The sequence below is a fragment of the Homo sapiens genome, chromosome 12, assembly GCF_000001405.40.
Source record: "Homo sapiens chromosome 12, GRCh38.p14 Primary Assembly".
NCBI classification, from domain to species: domain Eukaryota; kingdom Metazoa; phylum Chordata; class Mammalia; order Primates; family Hominidae; genus Homo; species Homo sapiens.
The window spans coordinates 89,010,350-89,028,961 of record NC_000012.12 but is presented as its reverse complement, the minus strand read 5'-3'; the positions used below and the strand labels follow the sequence as shown (position 1 = coordinate 89,028,961).

Below are 18,612 nucleotides of genomic sequence, written 5' to 3'. Positions count from 1 at the left end.
ATTGCATTCCCTGGCATGGAATTTTATCTTTCTTTTTTCTGCTTGTCTGAGTCTCACCCTTTTTGTGAGACTCAATTTAAATTTCATCTCCAACAGAAAGCCATGCCAGATGTCCTTAATCCTCATTAATCACTTTCTATTCTTCTTTTTTATACTTTTTGTGACTTAGAATGTCAAGTATTTTATTTTTAAGCTTATAAAATTTGAAAACAAGATAGCCTAGGTTAAATAATATAGTATCCAAAGCTGAGTGTGCTCATTTAGAGCTTTTTCTCTGTTTGAAAATACAAAAACAACTTCCTAAAACTCCTAGGTGAGAATACCTCTGTTTGGATGATCTGTGATTAGATGAACTGTTGATAACATTCCTTTTTTCCTTAGTAAGTGTTTCAGAAATTCTAGAATAGATGCATTTTTGTAACCTTACACAGACTATTTTATTCCAAGTATCTCCTGAGAGGCATATAGCACATACAGGAATCCATCTCCATCCTTCTTAGATTCATATGCTTCAAAAATCAGTGAGAAAATGCCCACCATACTTTGTTCATCAACAGGAAGAAGATTGGATTAGCATTGAGTTGTAAGTGCCTTCTAATTGTCTTAATGAGTTCTGTTAAAGAAAAAAAAATCAATAATACTTGTTAAATTATGGGAAGGAAACCTGTATCAGGACCATTGAAATAGGTACAGGGACCACTGCAAAGATGTCTTGCACACGAAGAGAAAGATTGGGTTCAATTCTGAATACAGCATGGGCAAGTGGGAACTTATAGCCATAGAGCAGGGTGTGGGGTAATGGATGGACAGTTACTAGGGGAAACATCAGGGTAAGGGGGATTCTGACTAAACCGACCTAACAGGATTCTTCCTGAAGACAGGCCAGGGTGATCAAACATCACCTGAGGGATGGTGGAGGATAAGGAACCTGATCAGATATCAAAGGTAATCAGATACTGAGGGTGGGGAGAGTCTTGCTAAGCTGACTTAAGAGGGCTCTTTGCTAACACTGTATTTTACAAGGAAGTGCACAGATGGGCCTAGGAGAAGGTTCAAAGGCCTGATTAAAGTTTGGCCAAGCAAAGAACCTTTGTCAATTTACTCATGCAGATGTGATCAGGTATCAGGAACTTGGTTTTATCTAGCACAAGAAGCTGCTTCTCACTCTTGTGCAGTCTATTTATTATGGGAATTGTGGTAGGATGTTGCCCTCAGATAAAGCAAACACTGACTCTTTGTTATGAAGCTGCTTGAAGGGCTTCTCCCCTGCCATGGCACGGGAGACTGAACTGAGGAACAGGCGAGTGAATGCTCCCAGCTGCTCAAGGGGTCAACAGTGGTGAGTCTTACTTGGGCCAATCAATTCTTTTGCTAATACTTGGGACAGTCAATTCCTTTGCTAAACAGCTGAACTATGTACTACCTGGTCTATTCTTGCATCCCAATCTGCCTATCACGGTTATCTTTTTCTTGTTCTCCCTTTCCCTCCCCAGTTAGCTGATAAGTGCCAGAGTAGATACTTTAAAAGTGTTAGAACAAGTACTTGAATTATATGAGAAAGAGAGTTAGTCAAACATTATATCAATTGCTTTCATGAAGATGGGTGGGAGATGGTTCATATTAATGTATATTACTTGCCAGGTGAGTCTTTGCAGGAAATCATTGAGTATCTCTTCTTTGCACTTGAGATGTAGCAATGTGCAAAACAGATGGTGGTGGTGATGGTGATGATGATGATGAAACCATACCTCGTCCATTTGGATGTGGTAATAAGTACTTCTCATCAGTCATGTCTTACCTGAGGCACTCAGTGAATCTCTGCATATTGAAGTGTTTCCAGTAGTAGAACTCAAAGCAATTACCTCATTGAGTGCCATGATTAGATATATTAAGGCTGTTGCTTGGCTATCAGAAATAAGTGCTATCTCTAGGGCCGGGCGTGGTGGCTTACACCTGTAATCCCAGCACTTTGGGAGGCTGAGGCAGGCAGATCACCTGAAGTCAGGAGTTCAAGACCAGCCTGGCCAAGATAGTGAAACCCCGTCTCTACTAAAAATACAAAAATCAGCTGGGCATGGTGGCACGTGCCTATAATCCCAGCTACTCGAGAGGCTGAGGCAGGAAAATCGCTTGAACCCAGGAGACAGAGGTTGCAGTGAGTGGAGATCGGGCCACTGCACTGCAGCTTGGGCGACAGAGCAAGACTCGAGACTCCGTCCCCCCACCCCCAACCCCCCCCCAAAAAAAAGAAAGAAAGAAAGAAAAAGAAAAAGAAGTAAGTGCTATCTCTTAATCTCCTACGCAAGTGATTGGTAGGAATTCATCCTCTTATGAGATTGTCTGGTTAGGCTTTTGCTGAGAATGGATACTATTGAATGTAGGGCACAGATTTGTATTCTGGAGCAGATCACAGTAAAACTGTGCCAAAATTCTAAAAAGAGGAACTCCATAATAAAGAAAAAGCAAAATATAAGAACCATACCAAGAGATACAATAACAGAGTAAGAGCAAGAGGTAACGGTGTTGCATCTCCAGTAACAGAATAATCCAGTGTGAAACAGTTCCTTTTAATGCAAAAGTTGTGATTTCAAGTTTTTAAAAATCGTGTTTTTCTTGTTTATAAAGTAATACATCCCATTAGAAATATTAGAAAGTTACTAAAAGAGAATTAATATAGGGGCTGATTCTGGATATAAATTCCAATTAGAAACAGATAGTAAGTGGTCCTTCCTAATTTCTCCTGGAAACTTTCCCTATTAGGTAAAGATTCATACTTTATTTTTCTATGTATAAGGTACTCTATGCTTTGTTTTACCAGCCTTGAGAAAAAAGGCTTTTTTTATTCTTTATTTTAAAAAGCTATAAAGCATGTATTTTTCTTTAATTCTTTAATATATTTTTGTAGAAAGGTTGAAAAACACAAAAATGAATAAAGTTAAAATTATTTTTAATCCCACTATTGCTAACATGCTAGTATTTTGATGCATTTATATATAGATTATGTATATGCATATGCATATATGCCATGTACATTCCAACGTATACATGAAGAATTATAACTGCATGGAAAATGTTTATAATGTATTGCAAACAGAGAAAAGCAGGATAAAAAACCTTTTACATGGCTTGATCTCTTTAAAATTCTTCAGCATCATGTACTTAATAACTTCATGATAGTTTCCCATTTGGATGTGAACTGATAACCTTTTCAGAAAGGATGGAACCACTCTTAATAAATTCAGGAAATTCTCTCTATTATGAAATGAGGGGAACTTGTCTACTTATTGTTTCGTCTCTTCTTGATAATTCCATCTCTTTTTGTAGCACTTTCAAACATCCAGAGCATGTAACAGAAAATTTATTGCCTGTAGAGGTTTTAGAATTGGATACCAATATCAATATTTTAATAGTCAATATTCATAATATTAACATCAATATTCTGAAGGTAAAATTAGAAAATGGAGAGAGTCACAGACTTCCTTCATATAGTTAGAACTTCAAAAATTAAAACATAGCTGGGAGTGGTGGTTCATGCCTGTAATCCTAGCACTTTGGGAGCCTGAGGCAGGAGGATTTCTTGAAGTCAGGAGTTTGAGACCAGCCTAGGCAATATAGTGAGACTTCGTTTTTCTGAAGAAATTAAAAAAAAATAGCTGGGTGTGGTGGCACATGCCTTTAGTCCCAGCTACTTATGAGGCTGAGGTGGGAGGATCACTTGAGCTTGGGAGATCGAGGCTGCAGTGAGCTGTGATCACACCACTGCACTCCAATCTGGATGACACAGTGAGATCCTGTCTCAAAGAAAAAACAAGAAAAGTAAAAACAGCTTGCTTGTTTCTCTCCCAGTACCTGATAAAATAGGAGATACATTTCTCTTGACGATGACATCTTAGAGTCATGATCAAATACCTCCTTAGTCCTACAACACAAAGAAATGGAAAAATATTCCATGCTCATGAATTGGAAGAATCAATATCCTCAAAATGGCCATAGTGCTCAAAGCAATTACTGGGAATAAATCCAAAGGAAAATAAATTATTCTATCAAAAAGATGCCTGCATTTGTATGTTTATCACAATGCTATTCACAATAGCAAAGACATAGAATCCATATACGTGCCTATCAATGGTGGATTGGATAAAGAAAAAGTGGATGTGTACACCATGGAATACTATGCAGCCATAAAAAAGAATGAAGTCAGGTCATTGGCAGCAACACGGATGCAGCTGGAGGCCAGTATCCTAAGTGAACTAATGCAGGAACAGAAAACCAAATACCACATGTTCTCGTTGATAAGTGGAGCTAAACACTGAATACACGTGGACATAAAGATAAGAACAGTACACACTAGGGACTACTAGAATGGGGAGGGGTAGAGCAGGGCATGGACTGAAAAACTACTTATTGGGTACTATGCTCATTACCAAGATGATGGGACAATTCATGTCGCAAACCTCAGCATCATGCAGTATACCCATGTAACAAACCTGCATATATATCCCTTGAATAATATGTGTGTGTGTGTGTATATATATATATATATATATATATATATGTATATATATATTTATTATTTAGAGTCCTAAACTCTGTGATTCCCCAAAGCCAGTGCATAGATCAAAGTAGCTCCAGACTGACACTTTAGGGAGGCTTTTAAAAAGGACTGATTCCTGGACCCTGGTTCGGTATGTCTAGAGTAGGACTGGAAGTCTATATTTTATGAAGTTTCCCAAGTGATTCTGATGAATAATCCAGTTTGAGAACCACTGCCCTGGGAGCTGTAGTGTAATCCAATTATTTCCTGGCTACTGGAAGGGAAGAGGTGAAGATGGAGTTCGATTTATTGTATGAAACATAGGTTCCCCAGAGAGGGTCTCCCTGGAAGACATTTAAAAAATCTATTTCAAAATAGTTTTTAATATTTCATTGATTGTCATTCTAAAGCCATAGCAAAGATGATGAACTTTGCAGGTTACTTCCAACCATTCAATTTTATAAAATTGTGTGTAGTTCTATAAATGTTGCAATGATCTTTAGAAAAAATTTTCCCTCTAGTTAAGAGTGCATTTACTTCCCACCCATTAAGCTAAGCAATCATGACATGTTCACACCCCTGAGCACATTTAGTTCTCGATAGAAAATTAGACATTTAGTTTATTGTGGGCACTTAAAGTCACTGGAGATTTTATGATGACTTTTATTTCTCAAAAAAATCTATATTAAACATAAAACTAATATTTATTTCCTTCATTTTTATATAATTTGCTTTGTAAATATATAGCCTTTTGTCTAATCTTACACAATAAATGACTTGTTTTGAACAGATGCCTTACTTTAATAGGATCTTATGTTCTCTCTTTGAATATTTTCATACTTTTTTAAATTAAAAAATCACCTTAACCAAAGATGTAATGTATTCTACAATATAAAAAGTGCTGTGTCCCAAATTTTCAGTCATTGTAACACTCTAGCTAGAGAAATTACTACTGTAGTGGAAAATTGAGTTTCAGCTCTACATCACTTCTGCCTGCTGTGGGGATCTGTTCTTGTCCAAAACGAGTGGCCCTGGTGAGTCTGTCAATTAGTATATCTACTGCTTTGTTCTCAGGGGTGAGCATGTGAGCTCAGGTAGACCAGTTATAACAGCCTATAGTTCTTGGAGCAGTAATTGGCTTAGAAATGAGCATTAAAATGATCAATCTGATGTTGGGTGAGAGAATTATCCTTTTTAAAAAAAAAAAAATCCTCCTGAATTGGCTGAACTGGAAGAATGTGACTCTAGGTCAATTAGAAGTAGTTTTTCCCACCAAATGATGAGAGTTTGTTTGAATAAAAATGTGAGTATTTGGAGAGAGGCAGAAAATAGAGATGGGGAAAGAGACTTATGATGTTCTAGATCTAATTGCATTGACTACTGAACTTCCAGCAATGTGAAGTTCCTGAATTTGTTTTTTAAGTGATCTTGAATTGAATTGACAAACAAATTGAATTGAATTGCACACACAAAAAATCTTGACTAATGCAATTATTTTCTTCATTTTCCAGATGAGTAAATTGAAGCCCAGAAAGGCCAAGAAACTTGAACCATTTAGTAAGTCAGACTTAAACTCATGTCCTTACACTCTAAATCCTGTGTTCTTTATATCATGCTTTCATTCCTTAGCGTCTACTAAAGAAGTCTGGTATTCAGGAAAAACATGACTTAAGAAGTAAATATGGCTGAGAATGATATTATACAAAATAAAAAGTTAGCCGAATTGCTTTTGATCCAAATGTATGCGAGTCTTTGCAAAATTACAAGGGTCTAAGGTGTCAAACATTAAAAAACAATAGGCTAAATACTTAAAATGAGAATTTAAATTTTATGTTATCCAAAGACAAGCACATTTTGTTCAGTAGTCCTTCAGAATTTTAAGTAAGTTTTGTTAAATTATGGGCAGCAGACACAAACCAATAATGCATAAATCTGCCCATGCTCTACTCTGTAGGCTAGCAGAGATATCCTGTTGCAAGTTAAAATTTTACAAATAGCAGGACCTCATAACTTACCCTTAAATTGATGGGCTAGTTTGAATGACTAAAACATATGTAAGTGGAATTTTTCAATCAGACAAAGTGATGTAAAGAGAAAATGAAGTTCTCTTTACTATCTGAAGTTCACCTTTACCATAGTGACAGATTAAAGCTTGTTTCTTCAGGGCCCTATTGTACCCGGAAGTGTTCTTTGATTTTCCTTTTTTTTCTCCAAATCTACCCCTGTTCGTCTTTGACAGAATACCTGTGAGAAAGAATCTGAAGAGCATGATGTTTAACCCTTGTACATTTAAGGAAGTATTAAAGGAAATAAATACAGGAGAAAAGTGAACTGCTAAACATGCCTGAATACATCCTGTCATTAATGTCTGGATTTTATTTTTTACTTTTAATACATATGTTAACATTTTTAATGTAATAACTAATGTATAAAAATCACAATAACATTTACATAAGTTATATAAGGCATATCTGTGACTCCATCACTGATCTTACCTCAGTCAGCCCTTGCAGGAATGTGATTGTCCCCAAGCCCAGCCTGTGCCTCCGTTTTAAGAGGTAACTAACTCCTCTCCTAAATTTTATGCTTGTCATTCTCTTACATTTTTAGAAGTAGTTTAGTTCTTTTTAGTTAATGTTTCCCCAACAATAACATTGTATACTTTTGCTTGATTTTGAACATTCTATTTGTATCATGCTATATGTCATCTTCTGTGACTTATTTCATTTCACATTATGTTTCTAAAATGTCTTTCTATGCTTGTGAGTAGCTTTAGTTCATTCATTTTTAGGTTGTGTAATATTCCACTGCATAATTATTCTATAATATAATTCATTTAGTCACTCTCTTGTTGTTGGAAATTGGAAGGTTTTTCTTTTTTTCTTTTCAATTTTTACTGATACGAAGGATACTGTGATACATGTTTTATTCATTTCTCTTGGTATACATGCCCAACAATTCTTCTAGTTTCTAGGGTACCTAAGAGTGGAATTGCTTGGTCTTTGCATGTAAACTATTTAACTTGATATGAAGGTGTCAAACTGTTTTCCAAAGCGATTAATTTGATGTGTGTTCCCATCAGAAGTGTATTAATATCCATTCATTCAAATCTTTACCAATGTCTGGCAATGTCAGACTTCTGTATTTTTGTGCATTTAGTTTTTCACAGGTGTACTCTCTTCCTGATGTCTATTCTGTTCTGGTCAATAAATTTGACTCTGTGTCTATACCACACAGTATTAATTATTCTACTTTTGCCTTTTTTTCTCTTTTTGACAGAGTCTTGATCTGTGGCCCAGGATAGAGTGCAGTGGTGTGATCTCGGCTCACTGCAACCTCCGTCTCCCGGGTTCAAGTGATTCTCATGCCTCAGCCTCCCAAGTAACTGGGACTGCAGGCCCGCACCACCATGCCAGGCTAATTTTTTAGCATTTTAGTAGAGATAGGGTTACACCATGTTGTCTATGCTGGTCTTGAGCTCCTGAGCTCAGGCAATCCACCCATTCAGCCTCCCAAAGTGCTAAGATTACAGGCATTAGCCACCGTGCCGGGCCGGCTTTTTATGCAACTTGTCTTGACAACAAATTATCAATGTTCTCAAAATACACTTTGGGATTTTGCTTTTCAAAAGAGGCCAATGCCACCTCAATCACAGCTTTCAAACCTCCTAGCTCAAGGTTCAATGTCCTTTTCCTAGAGTCAGACAGTTGGCCCTGCCAGATTGCTGTGCACTGTCTCAGAGTATGATAGGACAATATTGGAGGTCCCAGATGTCTGCTCCTTCTGTCTCCAAGAGCCATCCTGGTCAACACCGTGTTGGCAGGTCAAAATATGTGCTGCTTGGCCATTTGCCCTTTTATGCATGATCCTGTAAATATCTGTAAGCCACCACTTACTTATCTACTCTCCCAATTATGAGCACCCAGGTTACCTCCAGTTGCTGGACACTACAAACCACACTGTCATCTTTGTGCATATATGCTTGCAAGCCTGTGTGAGGATTTATTTGAGATATATGCCCAGGAATGAAATGGCTGGATCATAGGTTATGTAGATACTTTATCTGCTTAAATAAGAACAGCAGCACCAATGTACACTTTCACATTACTCAACATCTTTACCTATGTGTCTCTGCATGCACAGGTATAAAGTCTGGAAAATTACAGTTTTGGCCTTACTCACACAACTTCCTGAAAATAATTTCTCAACCCTAGTCCCCATACATCATGAAAAGAGCCTTTCCTTATGACAATGTGGACTTGTGCTTCTTTGTCCCACCAGGTCCCTATCTATCTTTCTGCCTCCTCCCTATGCATGAAGCACCTCATCCTCAAATTTGGGGAGATCCTGTCCAATTTAAAAATTCTGCTACTCAATCATACTAAAATAGAAAGCTATGATTGATTTTGATGAGTATGACTATCTATTTGGGGTGGGAAGAAGAGATGAACATGGTTTGTTTTTTAGATGGTAAAAACAACTAAATAGAACACTAAGAGATGTGAGCAAGCACTAGAGTGGTGCCAAAATTGTTCTTCGCTCTGATCCCTCCGTTCAACAGATCTATAAAGCCCTTCCCAGTCTCTCTTCAGATGCCAGGGCTACGGGATTCCACTGGCTGTAGCACCTCATCGCCTGCTGTAGGCTCCATGACTCGTTTCCAGTCTGCCATCTTGTGGTCCTTCCTGTTGCTGCATTCATACTGGTTTACCGAGAGGGCAACAGTGGATTTAGTAGACTTCACGTAGCTTGCGTCGCTGCTCCTGTCTCCGTGTAACTCACAATAAAGAGATTTTGGCATCAACCGTGAGCTTAGGGGTAGAAGGGTATATGTTAGGAGGTGGGAGCAGAATCAATTCTTCAAATCTTAATGATGTAAGTCATAAAGATGTTTCCTCGAGCCACTGTTGATTCATTGTTAATGATTCATTGTTAATGATTCATTACTGCGTTTTCTGCAACACTAAGAAACCGTTGTTTCTACTAACTTTATAAAAAACATATAAGATAAAGAACAAGTGAAAATCCAGATTTTTTTAATGAGGTATGTATACCTTCGTGGAAAATTTGAAGACAGAGACAATGTTTTACTATTTTCATTTTTGCACCTACAGTTTCTAGCATAGGCTTGGCATCTTGTAAATATTCAATAAATGTTTGTTGAATGAGTGCGTTAATTGATTCTCCTACCAGTCTGAGCTATCAGTTATGTCTCTGTGGCTAGATGGACACCATGTCTTCCATCCCTGCCAAGAGTTCAACTGAATTCAAGTTTATAAATGGAAATGTGTGTGTATGAAGGAATTAAAACAATTCAGAAAATATAAAGTTTTAAAAACGACCTTTCCTAGACATAGTCATTGTTAATAACTGGGTATGTATCTTTCTAGACCTTTTCAATATTTCTATGTATTTACATATATAAATATACAAATCTATACACACATATAGATTTATTAAAACATAAAAGGGGTTTCTTTGGGAAATAGTTCTTGAATTTGCTTATTTTTCTTACAGTTAATACGTGTAGGAGATCATTCCATGTCCATATGTAGAAGTCTATAGCATTCTGTTTGGCAGATGGATAGCATTACATAGTATAAATGTCTCATAATGTTAAAATCATTTCCCCTTTAGTGGAAATCTTTGTTCTTACAATGTTTTCCTGTACAATTCTTGGCCATGAAACTTGGTACACAAATGTGTCTTTCTGTAGGTCAGTGTCCATGAAGTGGGGTTGCTGGTCAAAGTATATATTGTATTTAAAATTTTTCACGAATACTCCTAAATTTATTATGAATTGATACAAAGGCCTTGTCTCACGAATTAAGATTAATAAGAAATACGGAAATCATTATTACTTTTTAATTTTTAGGGATGTATTTGACATGATCCTAAATAATGTGGCTGGCTGAACTTCCTGTTTCCTAATCATTTGTATATCTTCTAGATACTTCTATATATGCTGGCTTGAAAAACTGGCACAGAGAAGCATAACTGGGCTTGGTTTTTCTTTTTCTCGTTTCTCCTATGGAGAATTCTAAGCAGCAGGTAGCACCCTGGAGCACTGTGTTTGAGCTCTGAGAGCGGTCCTTCTATGGATTCAACTGGTTCACAAAAGAAAACTTTTGCAGTATCAATATTTGATATATGTTTGACTTCATATTATTACATGACATTTCTTTTTGTCATGAAAAATGAATACTTATTTATTATAGAAAATATTAAAAATGCAGAAAAGTGTTAAAAATATAGAAATAAACTATAGTCTCATAAACCAGTGATAACTAACCTTAACATTTTGGTTTATATCTTACTAGATGTATACTGTTTTTAAACAAAATTGGGATGACACTATATTACCATTTTATAATCTGTTTTTTTCTCTCTACCTAAAAATATATTACAAACTTTCTGCCATATTAATATGGCATCACTTCAATGATTGGTTTAGAGAAAGCATAACCGTATAACACTTTCAGCTTACTCAGAATTTACAACTAGATCTCTGATGCTTCAAACTCATTTAAACACATATGATCTAAGGCAGAGAAATCCTACCTGTATGTTTGTATGTTCTCTGTCACTAATTAGAATAGCTATATCTTTCTGAGTAGTTACTACATACTAAATGTTTTGCAAAGCATGTGACATTATTTCTAATTGTCAAAACTACCTTCAGAAGTAGGTATTATTGTCAAAATTTTGCAGAAGAGGAAACTGAGATTCAAAGAGTTTCAGCAAATTGCTCAAGGACGCACAGTGAGAAAATGGTAGGGTTTAAATTAGAATCCAGGTCTATCTGCTTGTAAAACTCTTGCTTTTTAAAACTCTATCTGCTGTTTTGATATGCATAATATTTTCAAGTATGACTTCTGTTCTAAAAGTCGCTGTCTAATATTAACTTCATAATTGAGTTGAAAGTAATCTCTGAAAGGAATTAAGACGCTTTATTTATTTTCTTTAGCTACGTAAAAAAGTTAAAGCACAGTGTTTATTCTCTTTTCACTGATGAAAACAACGCTTTGCTTGCGGATGGGCAGAGAACTTCTGTAACAATTGGAACTAGAGCGCCATCTGTTGACTGTAGAGTTCTAGGCATTTAATACAGGAAAATTACAAATCTGATCATCACTATTACTTTCCTCAACAAAGAAAATGCCCTCAGCTGCTGGGCGCGGTGGTTCACTCCTGTAATCTCAGCACTTTGGGAGGCTGAGCGGATGGATCACCTGTGGTCAGGAGTTCAATACCAGGCTGGCCAACGTGGCGAAATTCTATCTCTACTAAAAATACAAAAATTAGCCGGGCACTGTGCCGCACACCTGGAATCCCAGCTGCTAGGGAGCCTGAGGCAGGAGAATCGCCTGAATCCCGGAGGCGGAGGTTGCAGTGAGCCGAGATCGCTCCTGCACTCCAGCGTGGGCGGCAGAGTAAGACTCCATCTAGAAAAGAAAAAACAGAAGAGCCCTCAGCAGCAATCTTGGATGAAAGGTCATTAGTTCTGACTTTAAAAGATCAATTTATAATTGATTTAAATTTCACTGAGATGAAATTTATAAAACATAAAATCAATCATTTTAAGGTCGACAACTCAGTGTAACCATCACCTACTTCTATCTAGTTCCAAAACATTTCCATCACCCCAAAGTAAAGTCCATTACCCATCAAGCGTTTTTTCTTGTTACCCCTTCCTCCACAGCCCTGACCACTGTCAATCTGCATTCTGTTTCTATAGATTTATCAATTCTGGATACAGTATTTCACATACATGGAATCATACAATACGTGATGTTTTGTGTTTCGCTTCTTTCATTCAACATGTTTTGTAGATATAGCCATATCGTAGCATGTTATCAGTACTTCATTTCTTTTTATGGCTGAATATTATTCTATTTTGTAGATATATACACAACAGAATATATATATGTCCCACAGTCGGTTTATCTATTCATCTGTTGATGAACATTAAGGCTGTTTCTACCTTTTGGCAATCGTGAATTGTGCTGCTGTGAGCATGAGTTACATTTACTTATTTGAGTATCTGTTTTCAATTCTTTAAGAAAATATCTAGGAATGGAATTGCATTAGCCCCGATTTTAAAATAAAAATGTGGATGAGAAATACCTGACAATAGACTCAAAGATGTTCGATGCAAAGTAAAATAATTATTTCAACGGCAGGAAAAAAAATCAGTAATGAATCTAAGGATGAATATTTTCTTATGCTTATTCACCACAGTGAGTAAGAAAAGTCACAGTGAGTTGAAAAGTCAGCCTGGTTTGAAAAAGTCACTTAACCTCAGCAGCCCTCAAATAACTTATCTTTACAATGAGGCCAATGCAACTTACCTCATCGATTTGTCCTGAGGATTAAATTAGAAAACACAGTGCTTTGCACAGTGCCAACAAACGTCAATTTCCTTGTCCTTTATTTCTGCCATGACAGCTGATTCCATTTACCTGGAATTTCAGAACGGTGTGCACTTTCACAGCAAAAACAGTCTCTCAGTAATGAGAGGAGAGTTGAAGGGAGTGTTGATCCATGCAGTTGCTTAGCATGATAGCGATATTGTTTATCTTCCCCTCTGTGGCTCTCTGTGTCAATGTACATGAAATTTAGTTATTCTCTTCTGGAGACAACTTACTATATTTCTGTCTTAAGAGGAGTTCATCACTCTGAAAATGATCTCAGAAGGACTTGTGAGATGTTTAACAGAAACTATATTTTAAAAACATTTTGTATTTTACCTAGCAAATATGCTGATTCTTGTTTTTCAAAATGTACTGCTCATGCAAAGGAAATGCAAAAGTATATCCAAGGTGTGATTAACTTTCAGGTATTCCTCTGAAGCTTGCTGAGTTGCAAAATCTGTGTGCCCAAGAGAAACCGTATCTTTGCAACCTTGCAAATATAGTCTGAATCTTAGTTTTGAGGAAATTTTAATTGTAAATGATTGAGGGAAATGCTTATCTGTGACTGGCTTGACTTGGTGAGCACATCTATTTCCAAAATAAAATTAACTTCAGGGTTTCAAAAAATCTCTCTCTCTCTCTCTACCTGTCTCTTTCTCTCTGTCTCTTTGTGTGTGTTTATGTTTTAAAGATCAAGGCCTTTATAGGAGGCAAATGAGAAAAGCTAAGCCAATCTTAGAAAGAAAGAAATATCTATAATAGGATGTACAACATACAAAATAAATGCAATTTGATGCATTTTTTTCCAGAAGGGCAGGACAAGAGACAAATAACTGCCCCCCAGGGACTCACTCAGCCATGACCTATGCTTGAACACATAGATTTCACCTCGAACACTAGCCGTTGCACATTTAGTTAATACTAGATGCTATATTCTTTATCTTCTTCTGCCAGGACACCATCTTGTCTAGGAATAATATTATTCCCAATTTATAGATGAGAAGACCTGGACTTACTTAGAGAGATAACTAACAGGTTCAAAGTTTACAATTCTATGGTGGAAGAGCTAGGATTTTATCTAGGTCATTGTAACTTAACCCATATATTTTTTTTTCTCTCTCTCTCTCCCTTTCTTTTTGTCCTAGGGTGAAGAAGAGTGCTCACCAGATTCCCTTCTGGTCTGGAAAAAGAAATCCCTTCTTTTGTGGATGTCATCTCTACCATCTCTCGGTGAAAAATATTTCAAGAGAATCCTAAGATGGAGAGAGCATTGGAAGTCATCCGGCCCAATTCCCTTGTGCAATTCAAAGCTTCTTTGTAAGGTAGGGCACCATTTACTTTTATAAGGCCAACTTTGTGGAGTTTACTACTTTATAAAGCAACCTATCAAATATTTACAGCTACAATTGTGAAGAAATACTTGATAAAACTCTTTGACCAGTTTTGCCTAGTAAAACCTTAAAATTACTTTTTAGTTATCTCATTTATTAAATTGTTCCTTTGTTCGTTCACTCAAAAATATTAATTAAGCCAGGCTTGGTCTTATTTAGCTTTGAAATTACAGTGCTGGATGGTTGTGAATGCATACTTTATTCTACAAGCCCCGTTGCTTCTAGTTCATATGGAATTTGCAGGTAACTAAAACTCTTTGTCTTTTTTCCCCAAGAACTGTTGCTTAGTCAGATCTGTTCTATTTAACCTGCAGTTAAACGTTTCCCTTAAACTGAAGCATTGAATTGTTCAGTTTTGACCCTTCTGCCAGTTTTTTGAATGCTGATTAATACCTGAGAAGGTACTCTAGTTTTCTGGTGTCTGCAAGATTGGTACACACGCTGTCTGTGTCTTCATTTATATGTTCATTAAACATACTGGATAGAAGGGGGTCAAGTTCAGAAAGCTGAGGTTCTGTAGTACAGATCTCTCCAACGTTTTGACACCTAATATATTACTTAATATTTTGCTGAGTGGATTTATTCAAAGAAATGAATCCAACAACCTACATGCCTTAATTTTGCCTAAAACTATTCATGAGAAGTGGTTAAAGCCTTGCTAAATTCCTATGAAAGAAGCTTGACCTTCTGGTGTAATTGTCTCAAGCCTGCCTTGCTTGGCCAAGGACCCAATCTTTAGGCATAATCCCAGAAGACAGGGTCAAGTTCAGAGGCTTAAAGTCACAATATGAGGAGAGATACAAGCAACTCTCATAAAAGTAGAAATGACGTCCATCTTGTATGACTTTACTTTTGGTTAATCTTTACTGCCTGTAATTATCTACCATCTCATGTTTGGGATAGCCACAGCATATTTTAAGTATAATCTTCTAGAATTGTTCTTGGAATAAATTACTTTCCTGAGGGCAAGTTGTGCCATTATTTTTCTTCTCCCTCTGTGCAGCTCCATGATCTTCAATTGTCACTTAGGTTAACGCAGTCACTCATAAAATGTCAGGCTCCTAGAGGCTAATTCCTCTACGTCAGAAACTTGGGACATGTTTTGAAATACTCACTGCTTCCTAATATCTTAGTTAAATAATCAATTTAGAACTTACTCTTTTTCAGTTTCAGTAAGTATGATTTGCATTTATTTATGGGAGTCAAGCAATACTGTTTAATCTCTATCTTAATACTGTTTAATCAAGCAATACTGTTTAATCTCTATCTATAAAAGTAAGATGAACTCTTTCTTTTATTTTTTAGAAAAATGCCCCCAGAAGTTTGTTTGCATCATGAAGATCAGATTTTGAGGATCCAGTCTGGCTCTTCCCTGTACAAAACATTCCTCACAAACAGAATATGGACAATTGTTAAATGTCAAAGGTAAAGTTATTGTGGGAACTCCTTCAAAAAGTTCAAGTGAGAGCCCATTCTATGAATGACCATTTACATCTAATTTTTTTCTGTGCTATGTTACTTATTCTGAAGTGGTTGATCCAATTCCTAAAAGGGAATATTTCATTACCTTTTATTTCCTATAGCATCCATTCTGACCCCTTTTCGGTTTAATTATTCCCTGATTCCAGTCTTCATTCACTCATTTATTTGAGGAATATTTATTGACCAACAACTATGCCAGGTCCCATTCTATGTGTAGGGACTATAAAGTTGAACAAGACAGAGGAGGTACTGGCCTCAGAATTTACATTCTAGTAGATGAGAAAGTAAAAATAAACACATGAAAACATGAATGAACCGGATATTGTAGACTGTGATAGGTGTAGTTTGGGTAAAGCACAGAGTGCAGTAGTAAAGATAAACTGCACTCAGAGTGGGGCTATTTTAGATGGAATGGAGATCTCTGAGGAAATGAAATTTGAGCTGAGACCTAAAAGGTCACCCAAGGACTCATGGGAAAACTCAGTTGTTTCTATCAAAATTTAGCTTCATGAACTCCAGGCCCTTGCAAATGATGGTTACCAGGTGAGAAATGTCTCACTGGCAACAGAGGTTGGCAGACCCAGCTCCAGTTCCATCCCAGCCAACATACCAATGTCATTAAAATAAGGCCATTCATCAAGGTGGAGACTATTACTAGAAACAAGCATTCTAAAGTGCCATTTGAGTGCCAGGCTCTCAACACTGGGCGTAGCACTGCTCCATGAGGCTTTTGAGAGCATATACTGAGGCATGACCAAAAAAATTAAGTCCCATGTAAGTGATGCAACTGCTCCCCAATTACTGTGGAAGTATCTGCAGACTAACTATTGTGCGTGTGTGTTTGTTTGCTTTAATGAATAAATTCAGTCAACCAACCATCTAGCTATTGACTAAATCCATTCTTTTTCTTCCAAAATGTCTATTGGCTGAAGTTTACTGGTTTTTATTTCTATTCGCATACGTAATTTTCTAAACCCCATTCTTATGGAACCTTCTCTAAGTTCCTCTCTATGGCCCTGTCCATGTTCATACGGATACACATAAAGACACAAATACACCAAACTAAGTTTAGAGCAGTCTGGTGCCTGCCTAAGACTTCAGCCTCATCTCCTGCTTCTACCCTCTTTAGTTTAGGAAAAACAGGTAACGTTGCTGAGTGCCAAGTATTGTGTTAGTAGCTTTGCATGCATTTTTTCATTTTATCTTCACAAGTTTCTTCTATCACCATGATCTGTATGTTTGACCATGGTGTTTCCTCCACCTGAAATTCCCTTGGTGCTCTGCCTGGGGAACTGTTACTCATTCTTCAAATCTCAACGGAATGATCTCCTCCTCTGGAAAGCTCTCCCTACTTCCCTAGGAAGAAGTAATCCCTTCCTCAGTTCTGCTTTGATTATAACTTTATAAGCACCTATCACTCTGCATGGTATTAGTTCACTGTCATGTCCATTTCCTCTATTGGGATGTAAATTGCTTATGGGTAATAATTAGGCTTTGAATCATTTTATGATCTGGCCTAAGACAGTGCTTGGCACATACTATAGGCTCATCAGATGATGGCTGAGTAGAATTAAATTGAATCAAGTTGAAGTTATACTTTGATGTTTATCAATTAACATGTGTAGTGTGTTAAATGGTGGTCACTGAAAACATACGTCTGCACCCTAATTCCTGGAACCTGTGAATATAACCTTACATGTTAAGAAGAAATATGACCTTAAATGGATATGGAGACAAGGAGCTTATCCTGGATTGTCTGAGAGGGCCCTAGATGCAATCGCATGTATTCTGATAAGTGGAGAGAAACAGAAGAGGAGGATGCAATGTGACCATGTAGGCAGAAGTTTGAATGGTGCAGCCACAAGCCAAGGAGCCCCTGGGGCCATCAGAAGCTGGAAGAAGCAAGGAATGGATTCCTTCCTAGTGTTTGGAAGGAGTGTGCACTTGCCAACACCTTGGTTTGAGACTTCTGGCCTCTGGAACTGTGACAGAATAAATATCTGTTGTTTTGAGCCACCCAATTGTTGCTAATTTGTTAAAGCAACCTTAGAAAATTAATATAGCATCCACAATAAAATTTCTCAAAATATATGTTCCTGTGAAATGGAAGAGTTCTAGGGATCTAGTAGCATATACGGAACCCAGATAAGTTATACAAGTTTTTCCCTGAAAGTCTTTTCAGATTCTTTAGCGGGCTAAGGTGCATTGTGAATCCCAAAAACTTTAGCGTTTTTCAGCATCTATTATCACATAATCCTTTCCCCACCCATGGAATTATATACTAAACTGTTTTTGTAGATGTTGATGTTCTGTAGAACAGAGTTTTGGGGTCTGTATGACTTAAGATCCTTCTACAATGGAACACAGTGAGGAGGGTATTCAGAGGAGTCATAGAGGGCATTGATCTTGCAATATATACTCAGGAAATTACCATGGGCAGAATAAAATGCTTTTGAAAATATTTAATGTTTGCTTGGCATTGTTTCTCTTGGGTTTAGCTTTGCAAAATTTTCCTCAGGTATCATTTTTCTTGTTGCCATGGAGCCAATTCACTTCCCAAGGCAAGTTGGTGATTGGCCTAAGGGAAACTATTGAGAAAAAATGGACAGCTCAAGATGTGGTTTGAAACATTGATGTTCTTTCTTGGTGCACTTAACTCTTCTCTCTGCTATTATTTTTCTTCTTCACTCTCCTGGAATCTCCCTCTTTCCCAGTGTAAGTGAGAGTCTAATAGCTCATGATGCAGCTTGGTTTGTTGTGTATTGAAGTGACCGTAGCTGCATTTGTTTTG

The 18,612-nt window shown here is 37.0% G+C and overlaps 1 long non-coding RNA gene and 1 pseudogene across 1 annotated transcript; one reads left to right on the top strand and one right to left on the bottom strand.

The window, feature by feature from the left end:
- On the bottom strand, positions 427 to 1,273 carry LOC100287355 (microtubule associated protein 1 light chain 3 beta pseudogene; annotated as a pseudogene).
- On the top strand, positions 9,270 to 17,836 carry LINC02458 (long intergenic non-protein coding RNA 2458). The gene is made up of 3 exons (NR_038385.1): positions 9,270 to 9,409; positions 14,094 to 14,270; positions 15,645 to 17,836. It is a non-coding gene; the product is annotated as a long intergenic non-protein coding RNA 2458 (long non-coding RNA).
- Positions 17,837 to 18,612: the final 776 nt, after the last annotated feature.